This window comes from Homo sapiens, chromosome 8, assembly GCF_000001405.40.
Source record: "Homo sapiens chromosome 8, GRCh38.p14 Primary Assembly".
NCBI classification, from domain to species: Eukaryota; Metazoa; Chordata; class Mammalia; order Primates; family Hominidae; genus Homo; species Homo sapiens.
In genome coordinates, this window is record NC_000008.11 from 120394643 (window position 1) to 120410313 (window position 15671).

At 37.1% G+C, this 15671-nt stretch overlaps 1 protein-coding gene across 1 annotated transcript in view, besides 2 other annotated features; it reads right to left on the reverse strand.

Annotated features, from left to right (window-relative positions):
• Positions 1-794: 794 nt before the first annotated feature.
• MRPL13 (mitochondrial ribosomal protein L13) overlaps positions 795-15671 on the reverse strand; it is a 49714-nt gene continuing 34837 nt past the window's right edge. The window contains exon 7 of the mRNA NM_014078.6: positions 795-1483. Within this exon, the coding sequence (NP_054797.2) occupies positions 1462-1483 (22 nt within the window). The 3' untranslated portion in view covers positions 795-1461. The remainder of the gene's footprint in view (positions 1484-15671) is intronic.
• Positions 2541-2729: a silencer, noted in NCBI's record as "fragment chr8:121409422-121409610 (GRCh37/hg19 assembly coordinates)". NCBI's record gives its function as "represses an EF-1alpha promoter that drives an FKBP-Casp9 reporter gene in an ReSE screen in HepG2 liver carcinoma cells and K562 erythroleukemia cells {active_cell/tissue: HepG2 | K562}" and the evidence as "EXISTENCE:reporter gene assay evidence [ECO:0000049][PMID:32094911]".
• Positions 2754-3253: an enhancer, noted in NCBI's record as "H3K27ac hESC enhancer chr8:121409635-121410134 (GRCh37/hg19 assembly coordinates)". NCBI's record gives its function as "activates a minimal SCP1, AML or CMV promoter by ChIP-STARR-seq in naive H9 embryonic stem cells {active_cell/tissue: H9 hESC(naive)}" and the evidence as "EXISTENCE:reporter gene assay evidence [ECO:0000049][PMID:30033119]".

The following is a 15671-nucleotide window of genomic DNA, read 5'->3' on the forward strand; positions in this document are numbered from 1 at the left end:
GGAACTGGAGACTTATTTCATATTGGCTCACTCCCCTAAAATTACTCCATCAAAAGTAAGACGGGCAGGTTCTTTTTGGTCCAACACCTTAAAATGTAACTGAGACTTCCTTTTGAATGGTAGTTGTTAACCTGTGCCGGGTTATACGTGCTTTGTTAAAGAATTTGTAATACAGAAACATATTCACCTTTTCTCATCTAGCAGTGGGTAAGTCCATGGGCTTTCAAGTCCAACTGCCTGGATGCAAATCCTGATTTTACCTTAGCCAAATTACTTAATTTATTGCTGCTTCACTGTGTCCCCTTTAAATTGGGAGGATAACAGTACCTCCATTACAGTATGTATTAATTAAATAATTCATATAAAGTGGTTGTGCCTGGCACATAGTAGGTGCTTATGTCATATTTAATGCAGTTATTAAATAAACATGTTTACATCATAATTCACACAGTTGTATTAGCACATTTGACAACCAGTTTTACTTGTTTACAGATCTATCTATACTTCCTTCCCATCCTACAATAGACTCTTTGATGGGGCACGGAAGTGTTGGGGGCAACTTGTATGATTTCTGTTTTCCCAGGACCTAGCACTGTGCCTGGTATATAGCAGTACTGAATATATGTTTGCTGAATGAATGGGAAAGTTGGTCTGAAATTCATTCCTTGATTGGCTATGGCAAGAGATGAAAAAATACCACCATGAAAATGCTCAAATGCAGTGGCTCAGTATCTTAATTTCTAGAGAGCATATTTTACAAGCAATAGTCATCCCAGCACCCCAATCTAAGTGCCAGTACAGAGATGAATGGAAGCCAACAGGACAGATATGGGAAAACAGTGTGGAGAGTCTACAAACAGAATCACTGGCAGGGAAGAGGGATTTCTAACGAGCAGACAGGCATTATGTATTCTGGTGTCATTGTGGGGCCAAGAGGCTATATGGGACACAGAAAAAGATAGCAGTTTATAAATATTTCAGGGCAAACTTTACCCTACTAAGCTGCAAATATGAATTTAGATGGATGACAAGTTAGATAAAAAAAGCCACTGAAATGAAAAGTGAAGGTAGAGCTTGTTCACAAGGGACAAGAATAGTGACCTGCAAACTTGAGAAAATCTGCATGGAGAGGCATTTTTGGAATGTGTAACTGCAATTCTATACACAGGGTCTGTTTTTTATCATTAAATGCAACACTAAATAGTCAACCAAGTAAGTGATTTTATTATTATCAACTATAACATTCAAATCAGATTACATAAAAATGGTTCTATAAAATTATATTTTAATTACAATTTCCTATTGAAGGACTATACCTTCCTGACCTTTCCCCACAGTGATTCGGCACATAAAACAGGTGCTGAACTGTAGCAGTTGTTTTACTCCATCCTGTAGGTTAGAGAAACTCATCAGAAGAAAGTTTCAATCACTTCACTGTTATTTTCTGCAATTCTTATTCTCTTATAGCCGATAATCTTCAGGTCTGAAAGAAAAAATCAACATATTTCTTCATGAATCATTATTTTGTTTTCTCCTGACTGATGAGGATTATTTTTCCAATTTAAAATAAAAATAACTGTTCACCAAGAAATAGCTACAAACACTATATCTAAATTTTTGGTGAAAAAAAAACATTAACATCAAATCTTTATAAAGTAGAACAGTTAAGTGACAACTCCAAAGTCTTTTTGAAAGTATAAATATAAGCCACCTTGTGCCTATATAAGAATGTATTTAGTAACTTAATAATTTGAATTCAATTTCTCTGTTCCATTTTTAAACTTTTATAAAGTCCTTATTGAAAAGATTACTATAATCTTTAAGAGTTTAAAAATCATACGAAGACATGGATTTATAGTACAAATGCAAATTTTGAGTAAGTGATTTTTCCTATTTATATTATCATATGCTAAATTTAATTTTCATTATGATCCATATACAAAATAAGTGTATAAACATCAGTCCTTTAATATTTATTTACAAACATAACTGGTTTTCCTTATTTATGCAATTATAAGATTAACCACACCTGAGAGCTGCTTTCATTAGTCAATTAAAAAAATTTTTCAGAAGTATTAAATTATAACAATAGACAAAATTAAACATAGGAAATTATAAAATGCAAACAATTTGTCCTGTTATCTTTTCAAAAGTGTATTTGTAGGTGTTGGGTTTCCATATGGAATTTTCTGAAGGAAGTTGGTAACAAACTAAACAGATATTTTGGCAAAGATGACTGATTAGAAGCAGCTGTGGTCTGCAGTTCTCCCAGAGGAATGAAAATGGCAAGTGAATTCAGCACCTTCAACTGAAATATCCAGGTTTTCACATTGGGACTGACTAGGCGGACAACTCGACCCATGGAGAAAGAACTAAGGAAATCAGGATGGAGTGACTGCCCACCTGGGAGTGGCATGGAGCCAAAGAAACCCCCACTCCCAGCCACGGGAAGCAGTGAGTGATTGTGTGACCCCCACCTGGGAAACCACGTTTCTCTCACGGATCTTTGCAGCCTGTGGATCAGGAGATACCCTCGTGAGCCCACACCACCAGGGCCTTGGGTCCAATACACAGAGCTGTGCAGAGTCTTGGCAGAGCAGTTGCTCAGGCTCACACAGAGACCCAGGAGTTTAATAGACTCTAGCCCCAGGAATCCCGGTAAGGCAGGAGATCCATCCATAAATTCTCCAAGGAAGGGAGCTGAATCCAGGGAGCCAAGCGGTGTTGTTCTGCGGGCCCCACTTCCATGGCATCTCACAAGTTAAGCCTCACTGGATTGGAAATCCAGCCAACCAGTGCAACAGGCTGGAGACTGCCTGAGATGGACAAGTTCCTGGGGGGAGGGGCAGCTGCCATTTCTGTGGTTAGGTCGACTCAGCCATTCTAGTCTGCCAGCTCCAAGGAGTCCACTGGACAAGGAGGAGTCGCCCACAATGCAACACAGCTGCTGTGCCAGATCACAGCCACACTGCTTCTTTAAGTGGGACCCTAATCCATCCCTCCTCACTGGGTGGTGCCTCCCTGCAGGAATTTCAACAACTCTAGCCAGGGTTATATGAACAGGACTCTGATCTCTCCCTGGGATAGAGCCCTGGGGAGAGACGGCCCCTGTTTCTGCAGTTCATTTGACACAGCCATTCCAGCCTGCCAGCTCCAGGGAGTCCAGGCAGTCTAGACAAGGAGGAGTCTACCATAATGCAGCATAGCTGCTGTGCCAGATTGTGGCCAGACTTTTTCTTTAAGTGGGACCCCGATCCATCCCTCCTCACCAGTTGGTGCCAGTGAGCACCAGCAACTCCAGGAATTTCAGGAACTCCAGCCAGGGTTATACAGACAGATCTCTGATCCCTCCCAGGGATGGAGCCCCTGGCGGGAGGGGTGGCCAACATCTAAGCAGTTCAGTCGACACAGCCTTTCCAGACTGTTGGCTCTGGACAGTTGAAGCAGTCCGGATGGGGATGGGATCCCCACAGTGCAGCACACCTACTCTACCAAAAAGCAGCCAGACTGCTTTAAGCAGGTCCCTGATCCTGTCTCTCCTGACTGGGTGAGACCTCCCAACAGGGGTCTCTAGACAACTCCTACAGGAGTGTCTGGGCTGGCAACAGGTCAGTACCCCTCTAGGACAGAGCTCCCAAAGGAAGGAACAGGCTACCATCATTGCTGTTTTGCAGCCTTAACTGGTGATACCTCCAGGTAAGGTAAAAACTGAAACAACTAGGGTCTGGAGCAATCCCCCAGCAAACTGCAACAGTCCTACGGAAAAGTGGTCTGACTGTTAAAAGAAAAACAACAAACAAACAAAGTAACAACAACAACATCAACAAAAAAGACCCCACAAAACCCCACTGAAAGGTAAGCCACCTCAAAAATCTAAGACAGATAAGCCCACAAAGATGAGAAAGAATCAATGCAAAAACCTGGAAAACTCTAAAAGCCAGAGTGCTGCTTCTCCTCCAAATGACAGCAACACCTCTCCAGCAAGGGCACAGAACTGGGCTGAAGTTGAGATGGCTGAACTGACAGAAGTAGGCTTCAGAAGGTGAGTAATAATGAACTTCACTGAGCTAAAGGAGCATGCTGTAACCCAATGCAAATAAGTTAAGAATCATGATAAAACAATACAGGAGCCAACAGCCAGAATAGCCAGTTTAGAGAGGAGCATTACTGACCTGATGGAGCTGAAAAATACAACATGAGAAATACATAATGCAATCACAAGTATTAATAGCAGAATAGACCAAGTATCTTTCTCAAATAAGACAGGCAGACAATAATACACACACACACACAAACACACACACACACACACAGAATGAAAAGGAATGAACAAAACCTCCAAGAAATATGGGACTATGTAAAAACCTATGACTAATTGGGGTACCTGAAAAAGACAAGGAAAACAGAACCAAGTTGGAAAACATACTTCAAGATTATCATCCAGGAGAACTTCCCCAACCTAGCAAGACAGGCCAAAACTCAAATTCAGGAAATCCGGAGAACCCCAGTAAGGTACTCCATGAGAAAAGCAACTTCAAGACACATAATCTTCAGATTCTCCAAGGTCAAAATAAAAGAAAAAATGTTAAGGACAGCCAGAGAGAAAGGCCAGGTCACCTACGAAGAGAAACCAGTCAGACTAACAGTGGACCTCTCAGTAGAAACCCTACCAGCCAGAAGAGATTGGGGGCCAATTTTCAACATTCTTAAAGAAAAGAAATTCCAACCCAGAATTTCATGTCTGGCCAAACCAAGCTTCATAAGTGAAGAAGAAATAAGATCTTTTTCAGACAAACAAATACTGAGGGAATTCGTCACCACCAGGCCTGCCTTGCAAGAGCTCCTGAAGAAAGCATTAAATATGGAAAGGAACAACCATTACCAGCCACTACAAAAACACACTAAAGTACACAGACCAGTGATGCTATGAAGCAACCACATAAACAAGTCTGCAAAATAACCAGCTAGCATCATGACAGGATCAAATTCATACATAACAATATTAACCTTAAATGTAAATAGGCTAAATGACCCAATTAAAAGACACAGAATGGCAAACCGGATAAAGAGTTGAGACCCATCAGTATGCTGTCTTCAAGGGACCCATCTCATGAACAAAGACACACATAGGCTCGAAATAAAGGGATGGAGGAAAATTTACCAAGCAAATGGAAAACAGAAAAAAGCAGGGGCTACAATCCTAATTTCTTACAAAACAGACTTTAAACCAACCAAAATTAAAAAAGACAGAAGGGCATTGCATAATGGTAAAGGGTTCAATTCAAGAGTTAACTATCCTAAATATATATGCACCTAATTCAGGAGTACGCAGATTCATAAAGCAAGTTCTTAGAGACCTATAAAGAGACTTAGACTCCCACATGATAATTGTGGGAGACTTTAATGCCCCACTGACAATATTTGACAGATCATTGGGACAGAAAATTAACAAAGATATTCAGGACCTGAACTCAGCTCTGGATCAAACAGAACTGATAGATATCTACAGAACTCTGCACCCCAAAACAACAGAACATACATTCTTCTCATTGCCACATGGCATTTACTCTAAAACTGATCACAGTAAGGTAAAACACTTCTCAGCAAATGCAAAGAACTGAAATCATAACAGTCTCTCAGATCACAGTGCAATCAAATTAGAACTCAAGGCTAAGAAATTCACTCAAAACCACACAACTATATGGAAACCGAACAATCTGCTCCTGAATGACTCCTGGGTCAATAATGAAATTAAGGCAGAAATCAAGGAGTTCTTTGAAACTAATGAGAATGAAGAGACAACATATCAGAATCTCTGAGACGCAGCTAAAGCAGTGTTAAGAGGGAAATTTGTAGCACTAAATGCCCACGACAAAAAGCTACTTAGATCTCAAATTAACAACCTGATATTGCAACAAAAAGAACTAGAGTACCAAGAGCAAACACAGCTAGCAGAAGACAAGAAATAACCAAGATCAGAGTAGAACTGAAGGAGACAGAGACAAGAAAAATCCTTCAAAAAAAAATCAATGAATCCAGGAGCTGGTTTTTTGGAAAATAAATAAATAAATAAATAAATAAATAAATAAATAAATAAATAAAAAAAATAGACTGCTAGTTAGACTAATAAAGGAGAAGAGAGAGGAGAATCAGACACAATCAGAAATGATAAGGGGGTATCACTACTGATCCCACACAAATACAAACCACCATGCAAGGATACTATAAACAGCTCTATACACATAAAGTAGAAAATCTGGAAGAAATGGATAAATTCCTAGATACAAAAACCCTCCAAAGACTGACCCAAGAAGAAATTAAATCCCTGAATAGACCCATAATTCTGAAATCGAATCAGTAATAAATAGCTCACCAACCAAAAAACAAACCCACAACCAGACAGATTTAGAGCTGAATTTTACCAGAGGTATAAAGAAGAGCTGGTACCATGGCTACTGAAACTATTCTAAAAAATTCAAAAGAAGGGACTCCTCCCTAACTTATTTTATGAGGCCAGCATAATCCTAATACCAAAATCTAGCAGAGGTACAACAACATAAAGAAAACTTCAGGCCAATATGCCTGATGAACATCGATGCAAAAATCCTCAATAAAACACTGGCAAACTGAATCCAGCAGCACATCAAAAAGCTTATCCACCACAATCAAGTCAGGTTCATCCCCAGGATGCAAGGTTGGTTCAACATATGCAGATCAATAAATGTAATTCATCAACATAAAAAGAACGAAAGACATAACCATATGATCAGCTCAACAGACACAGAAAAAGCCTTTGATAAAATTCAACATCCTTTCATGTTAAAAACTCTCAATAAACTAGGTATTGAAGGAACATGCCTCAAAATAGTAAGGGCCATATGTGACAAACCTACAGCCAATATCATACTGAATGGCGAAAAGCTGGAAGCATTACCCTTGAAAACCAGCAAATGACAAGGATGCCCTTTTTCACCACCCCTGTTCAACACAGTACTGGAAGCTCTGGCCAGGGCAATCAGGCAAGAGAAATAAATAAAAGGTATTCAAATAGGGAGAGAAGTCAAATTACCTCTGTTTGCAGATGACATGACCCTATATCTAGAAAATCCCATCGTTTCATCCCAAAAGCTTCTTAAGCTGATAAGCAACTTCAGCAAAGTCTCAGGATACAAAATCAATGTGCAAAAATTGCTAGCATTCCTATACACCAACAACATGCAAGCAGAGAGCCAAATCATAAATCAACTCCCATTCACAATTGCTACAAAAGAATAAAATACCTAGGAATACAGCTAACAAGGGAAATTAAGGACCTCTTCAAGGAGAACTGCAAACCACTGCTCAAGGAAATCAGAGAGGACACAAACAAATGGGAAAAACATTCCATGCTCATGGATAGGAAGAATCAGTATTGTGAAAATGTCCATACTGCCCAAAGTAATTTACAGATTCAATGCTATTCCCATTAAGCTACCATTGACATTCTTCACAGAATTAGAATAAACTATTTTAAAATTCATATGGAACCAATAAAGAGCCCAAATAGCCAAGACAATCCTAAGCAAAAAGAACAAAGCTGAAGGCACTTCGCTACCCAACTTCAAACTATACTACAAAGCTACAGTAACCAAAATCGTGTGGTACTGGTACAAGAACAGACACATAGACCAATGGAACAGAATTGAGAACTCAGAAATAAGACCACATGCCTACAACTATCTGATCTTCGACAGACCTCACAAAAACAAGCAATGGGGAAAGGATTTTCTACTCAATAAATGGTGCTGGGAAAACTGGCTAGCCATATGTGGAAAACTGAAACTGGACCCCTTCCTTACACCTAATACAAAATTTAACTCAAGGTGAATTAAAGACTTAAATGTAAAACCCCAAACTATAAAACCCTAGAAGAAAATCTGGGCAATACCATTCAGGACATAGGCATGGGCAGATTTCATGACAAAAATTTCAAAAGCAATTACAACAAAAGCATAAATTGACAAATGGGATCTAATTAAACTAAAGAGCGTCTGTACAGCAAAATAAACTAGCATCAGAGTCAACAGGCAACTCACAGAATGGGAGAAAATGTTTGTAATCTATCCATCTGACAAAGGTCTAATATCCAGCATCTACAATGAACTTAGGCAAATTTAGAAGAAAAAATAACCCCATTAAAAAGCAGGCAGGCAAAGGACATGAACAGACACTTCTTAAAAGAAGACATTCATGAGGCCAACAAACATATGAAAAAAAGCTCAACATCACTGATCATTAGAGAAATGCAAATCAAAACCACAACTGAGATACCATCTCATGCCAGTCAGAATGGAAATTATTAAAAAGTCCAGAAACAACAGATGCTGGCAAAGTTGTGGAGAAAAAGAACACTTTTACACTGTTGGTGGGAGGGTAAATTAGTTCAACCATTGTGAAAGACAGTGTGGCAATTCCTCAAAGATCTAGAGGTAGAAATACCATTTGACCCAGCAATTCCATTTCTGGGTATATACCCAAAGGAATATAAATCATTCTATTATAAAGACAAACGCATGTGTATGTTCATTGCAGCACTATTCACAATAGCAAAGACATGGAATCAACCCAAATTCCCAGACTGGATAAAGAAAATGTGGTATATATACACCATGGAATACTATGCAGCCATAAAAAGAAATGAGATCACGTCCTTTGCAGGAACATGGATGGAGCTGGAAGCCATTATCCTCAGCAAACTAATGTAGGAACGGAAACCCAAACACCACATGTTCTCACGTATGGGAGCTGAAAGATGAGAATACATGGACACATGGGGTTGGGGGGAACAACGCACAATGCAGCCTGTTAGGAGGGGTTGGGGGAGGGAGACCGTCAGGAAGAATAGCGAATGGATGCTGGAGATGGGTTGATCTGTGCAGCAAACTACCATGGCACATGTTTACCTGTGTAACAAACCTGTACAACCTGCACGTGTACCCTGGAACTTAAAATAAATGTTCAAGAAAATAAATATTTTGAAAACACCTGTAAAAATATGTAATAGTTTGAGTTCCTTTAAAAAGTAGATGACTTTGTTTGCCCAAAAACAACTTAATCTACTAGTCCTTTTCTATATTTATAAATTTATAAATGTTTTCTGAAACTGAATACTCACAGGATACCCCATAGCCTACCTAAGAAGACTGACAGTCTACCAGCTGAGTAAAATAACTCTACTAGAATTTTAAATTGTTTATTATTAAACTCTGAGCAACAAAGGCACTGATCTGGGAAACTAGCCAGGTATGCTTTGCCATATCAGCCATCTATAACAATAAGAAGATAAACTGCAGAGTTTTGTCACTTTGTTTGTGAAATCTCTATCCAAACATAAAAACTGCATCCAAAGTCTGGGAAATAACAATCTGATGACAGCTACACGCGGCTCCAGAATATACCCTTTTCTCCTTTGGTATGTGACTCAATATACGCAAAGCAGTTCTTAGTAAAGAGACACCAGTACATTTTAAGAAACAATTTATTATCCTATCCAGCTGGTTCATATAATTACAAAAGAGGTGGTGGTAATGCAATTGGAAAGAAATCTAAGTTAATGCCCCACAAGAAGTCTGCAACTCCACTCAATAGAATTAAATGTGTTTAGTCACAGTCACCAGTTGTTTCCACACAAAAGGTTAATTTATTTAATTGAAATGAAATGACAATACCACCTTTCAGTGGAATTTAGAAGTAAAATTGAATGGTATAATCCACCACATAAAGGAATGTGGACATTGACCTCAAAGCAAATTTCCTCTTTGTCTTTTCTCTGCCTGGCAACCATGACTAATCTTTCAAAATCCACCTCAAACGTTACATTTTCTGTCAAGCTCTTCACAACAATTCCTTTCTAACACAGACTGGGCTCCTTTCTCTAGGATTGCCAGAAAGCTTAATGCATGCTTCTACTACAATGTTTCTCTAATCATACTGGCTCTTCCTTGTAAATAACACATGCTGAGTGCTCATTAGATGCCACAAAGTATAATAAAGACTTCACATGAATTATTTTATCCTCACAACTACTTTGTAAGAAAGACACTGTTATTAGTTTCATTCTACAGTGACAAAACTTAGGCTCAGAGTAGCTCAGTAACTTGGCTAAGGATACACAGCTAGGAGGTAGATGGCAGGGATCTGAGTGTAAACAATTTGACTCCGGTGCTTGCAAGCACCATTTTATTCTATATGATGCCTCTTAGGCTGCCAGTCCTTTGAAGGCAGGGCCCTGATATGATTATCTTATACTCCCAGCAGCCACGGTAATGCCTGATACACAGTGGATGCCTAGTATATCTGAGCACAGTACAGAGTACAGTGACCCCCTTGAAAATGCCACTTCATGTGCAAATTCATCTTTAAATAATCGGGATATTTTCCAGATGGTTAATTTGCTTCCAAAGGGGGAAAAGCAGTATCATGGCCAAAGACTAGATAGTTAAGATAGTGGCACAGCTGGAAACATCAACTCATACTGGAGGCAATTAATGATACACATTTTTCAGGAGGTTCCCCTGTGGGGAAAAGAGAGGTTTTTACACTAAATATGGTTTTACTTCTCTCTGTCTCAAACAGAAATGAAAACAAGCATACACACAACTTTTCTGTATTGCTTATTCCTTTCCACTAAAACAACGAAATTCAAGGTAATATAAGAAAGGGGAGGAGAGGGCTATTTATGTCTGTGTTTCTCAAACTTCAGCAGGCATACAAATTGCTTGGATTCTTATGAGAATGCAGGTCCTGATTTCACTTATTCTGTGGAGGGGCTCACGATTTGGCAATCCTAACAAGTTCCCACTTGATGCATTGCTGGTTTATGGACCACATTCTAATTAGCATGGGTTCCCCTTAGACCAAAGACAGAGCTATTTATAAGACAGAGGAGCACCTTCAGTAAGAAATTACTAATACTATCTAACAGAAGGTAACACACATACTTCTTCCTAAACTAGAGATGACTCCATTTGATACACAGTATCTTTCCTGGTTCTTTTCTCCCAAACTGTAGTTCAAGCAGCTTTAGTACTCAGCAAATGTATTTAGGTTCTTTAAAAGTTGGTAACCCATATATGGTAACATGCAAACTAGAATTGAATTCTCAGATTATGTTGCTTACATACCCTATTTTGTGCTGAGGTGACCTAATCTCTTCACTAGATTAAATAGTTTTTAAAAACAAGAAGGGTGGCATCTAGCACATTACTTTTCATACTATGAATGCTTAAATATTTGAAACTTAAATGAAACGGCTTAATCTTTTAAAAGAGGGATGATAGGTGAATGTATATTGTACATTAGCCCTACTTCTTTGTCACTGTTTCATTGGAAATAACAAATTATGTAGTTTTAAAATGTGCGTTAATGTTATATAAGGTTAATATATTTGTAAATAATAACAGTATTCTAAAATAATCACAGGAAATCTTTAGAGGGATATTTCAAATGCCATTTCTGAAAGCTAACACCTGTCAATTTTTTTCATATAAATTATACAAATTTACTCCTTGACAGAAATATAAGTTGTATTTTAATGAAATTACCATGATTGTTCTTTAGACATGTAATACAAAGTATCCAAAATTGTATATATTAGAGTTGCATTAAAGTAAGGCCTGTTAAGAAAAATGTCTATTTTAGTTATAGTTAGACAAGATTTAAGTAAGGAGCAAAACCCAAAACATGAATTTATCACACTTCATGAACTGAACATCAATTTCCCTTTCAGGGAGGATATGATTCCATTCATGCATTCATTTATTCAACAAATTGACTGGTCAGGTCCTGCTGTGGGCGCCGGGAATAAAGTAGTGAGCAGGACCCAGTCCTCATCTTTATAAAGCAGTTTCTAACAGTGGATTATATATGTGTGCATGTGTGTGTGTGTGTGTGTGTGTGTGTGTGTGTGTGTAATTGTTATCTAATACAGCTATGATATATATTTTATATACAATTTATATATAGTATACTTATATATAAAAATATATGAAACACACACAAGCTTTGATCTTTGAAGTGAAAGACGAAAGTTTTAAATTTTCATTTATGTGCTTAAAATATACTTGGGAGATTAATGAATCATCTAAGAAATAGCTAACATAAAACTTTCCTTAATTCATTCTCTAAATTGTGCTAAACTTTCCATAGCTATCAAATGTTCTGTAACAACTATCTATTTTGCAGATACTTGTCACTAGCAAAAACTGCCTTTATACAAAGTAACTTTCGAAAATAGTATTACATTTTGAGTGAGAAAACAGAACTTTAAAAAGCCTCATCTGAGTTGTAGAAAATATTCTCTGGTGCTTGTGACTGCTCAAAAACAGTTAAAATCACACCACATGCCACATCATTCTGTTTCCTATAGCAAATTCTTTACCATACGCATCCCTATGCAAAACACTGCCTGCTACTCATTAGATGAAACAAGCAAAATACTGCTACTCATTAGGATGAAATAAGCACATATCAAAAAAGCAGATTCAAATTCAGAATTCAGAAATGACAGAAGTCAAAACATTTATATTATCTTGAAAATGGAGTAATTTCTCACCTCTTAACATTAGGAAAAAACTTTTCGGAGATTTTAGTTTGTATTATAAAATGGTAGGAAAAATTTACTTGGTTGTGAATGAAACAAAACATCAAGTTATGAAGCACATGGTTTATGCTACATTAAGATAAGTGACACTTAACATTATTGGTCCTACTTCCCAGCACTTTGGGAGGCCGAGGTGGGCAGATCATGAGGTCAAGAGATCGAGACCATCCTGGCCAACATGGTGAAACCCAGTCTCTACAAAAAATACAAAAAATTAGCTGGGCGTGGTGGCGGGCTCCTGTAATCCCAGCTACTTGGGAGGATGAGGCAGGAGAATTGCTTGAACCCGGGAGGCAGAGGTTGCAGTGAGCCGAGATCGCGCCATTTCACCACCCCAGCCTGGGCAAAAAGAGCAAAACTCCATCTAAAACAAAACAAAACAAAACAAAACAAAACAAAACAAAACAAAACAAAAAATACATTATTGGTCCTACTAAGAATAATTTATTTTTCAAGTAAAAAAATTCCCTATTTCAGCTGTAAGTCCAGGAAATTGAGTGTAGCTTAAGTGTAATAAATCTCAAAAAAATTTTTTTCTTCAATAGGTTTTATGTCTTTTCACTCTTACATAATATTTCTTAGTATAATGCTTATTCTATGAAACATTTAAAAGACTAAAATAATATTTGGATGGTGAACTAATCTTAAAAGCGATAAAAGGTCAGTTTGAGTTTTAAGTCACTTCCATTGAATGAATGAAATTATTTAGAATAAACCATTTCAGGAAATCTGGTGACATCACATATTCTTTAAAGATGCTAGCTATACTGAGAGGTAAAGTAATGGTGCCTTAATACTAATTTTCCTAGGCACTGTAGCACCATCCTGATCCGAAAAAGCTCAACATACATTTAAATAAAATGTTTTTTTAAATCCTTTCTTGATTATTCTTTTTTGTTTCTTCCCTTTCAGATCCAGACCTACAGATCAACATACTTTTAAATAAACTAAACCTGTAAGATTGTTGAAAATTTTTGCCAAATGATTTTTTCAATTAAAATGAACAGAAATTGCCATTACATTCAACTGCACTTTTTTAGTCAAAATCTGTATCAGCTAGGACTTATAAATGATTTGGGTTTTGTTGTTTAAATAGAGACTACTTTTTTATTTTACTAGCCAGTCCTGATCTATTCACATCCAAAAGAACAGTACAGCTTAGAATGCCTAATTTGAGCAAAACCCAGGACTGGAAAGACTGAAGTCTATCATTGAAGTCAATGCTGAACTGGTTGAAATAGGTAGGAAAGTTGGAAAGTAACCTTAGTCCACAAGTCCAGCTAGTAACTGCTGACTGTGAAGAGCAGCAAATTAAGTTAAATTGTGTGGAGAAAATGCCACATGACTAGACTAGAAGAAAATTATGGAAAATCTTAAAGCTGTCCAGATCCCAGCAACTTATGGATTAGAAAAGGTAAAAATCCTTCTACATTGTCTTTAAGTCTCTGATCTGAAGCATGTTTTATAAAGGCATAGGTAAAAATAATCTTTTTCTGAGTATTAAGTAAATCTGAAAATGGGTAGTTTTTAGGATTAACAGCTTTCATATCAGAGAATATGCACTAAGCTTAAATCCGTGCTCTCTTCTAGAGCTATAGACTGAAGAGGATGCTCACCAATGCAGTGCTAATGTTCCCAGCATCTGGAATCCAGCTTTTCTTTTACAGAGCTGAATGGATCACATATTGAACTCCCTAATCCTCATCCTACTTTCGAAGAGACAGTTCTGCATCAGTAATGGTTGTCCTCATACTTCCTTGTCTTCATCCTTACCATCCATCTCTCCTTTGCAGGCACATTTCTAATAGCACACTCTAGAGTACTGAAACACCAGGAACACAGGTTTCTGTTATAAAAACCTGTGTTCAAGCATGTATTGATGCTGAAGCTTTCCATGGTTAGCTTCTCTACAAAGGTGAGAGTTTTGCTTAAAACAAGCATTTCTTACTGAATTAACATGTAAGGAAAAATAATGCAAAGCAATTCAAGTTGAATTTTTTCACATACGTAGTTTTCCTTAGGAAAAGCTCTCCTGCATCATTTTGCAAAACTTGAAAATAAAGTTTAAAATGATCCAAGTTTTATTTGTAGACTACATTTTGAAACATTTCCCTTACAATGAGCATGATTAATTTCCATGATTATTGGGGTTGTGAAATGTGTTGGCAAAACTGCAATAATCATGTAACAATTGATAGTATTAAAATAAATTGACCATTTTAAAGCTACAATCTTAAGCAACAGAATTGTGAAGAAAAGATAGTGCTATTTTTTTCCTTTAAAGAAAAAAGAAAAAAAATCTAAGTATAAACCCCACAGTCACCATTTGCACATTGCAAATACATATCTGCTTTGTACAGTCAAGAAATATAAAATAAACTTCCTAACATATTTTCACAAAATTTATGTATCCATGATTTATGTAAAATATACTAATACACCAAGAATATCCACTAACTTAAGAAGTGAGATGAATGGGCAATAGTACCCATAGTATATATAAAATGGCTTTTAGTTTTAAAAAAGTATAGTTTTGTCATAAATATCAATTTCATTCCTTATCTCCTACCATAGCTTAAAAATGACAATAACTAATGACTGAACAACAACTAGCAAAAGAAAACCTAATGTATGCTGAAACTAGGCCTGAAAGAATATAATCTTTGAAGATGATTTAAAATAATTTAAATAAAATCCCAACAATGCTAGCTTTTAATTAAGATTAAAGCAATTTTGTTAATCATCTACTGGGTTCAAAGCTCTTTGATAATTGTTTCTGCTGCTCAGAAGCTTTTAGTCTCTAATAGAAAAGTTAATAAACTTATATTTAACCAAATATTAATAATAGTTCAAATTATAAGATGTACATTCTAATATTATGAACATATTTTAAGTTTTATTACTAGGGCAGCAAACACCAGAGCAAGCTATTTTTGTGGCTATATACTTGTGGCGCAATGCAGGTACATTTGTTTCAGTCAAGTCTCTGCAGATTCACCATCAGATTTATCTTAAACAAATTCCAGTTACT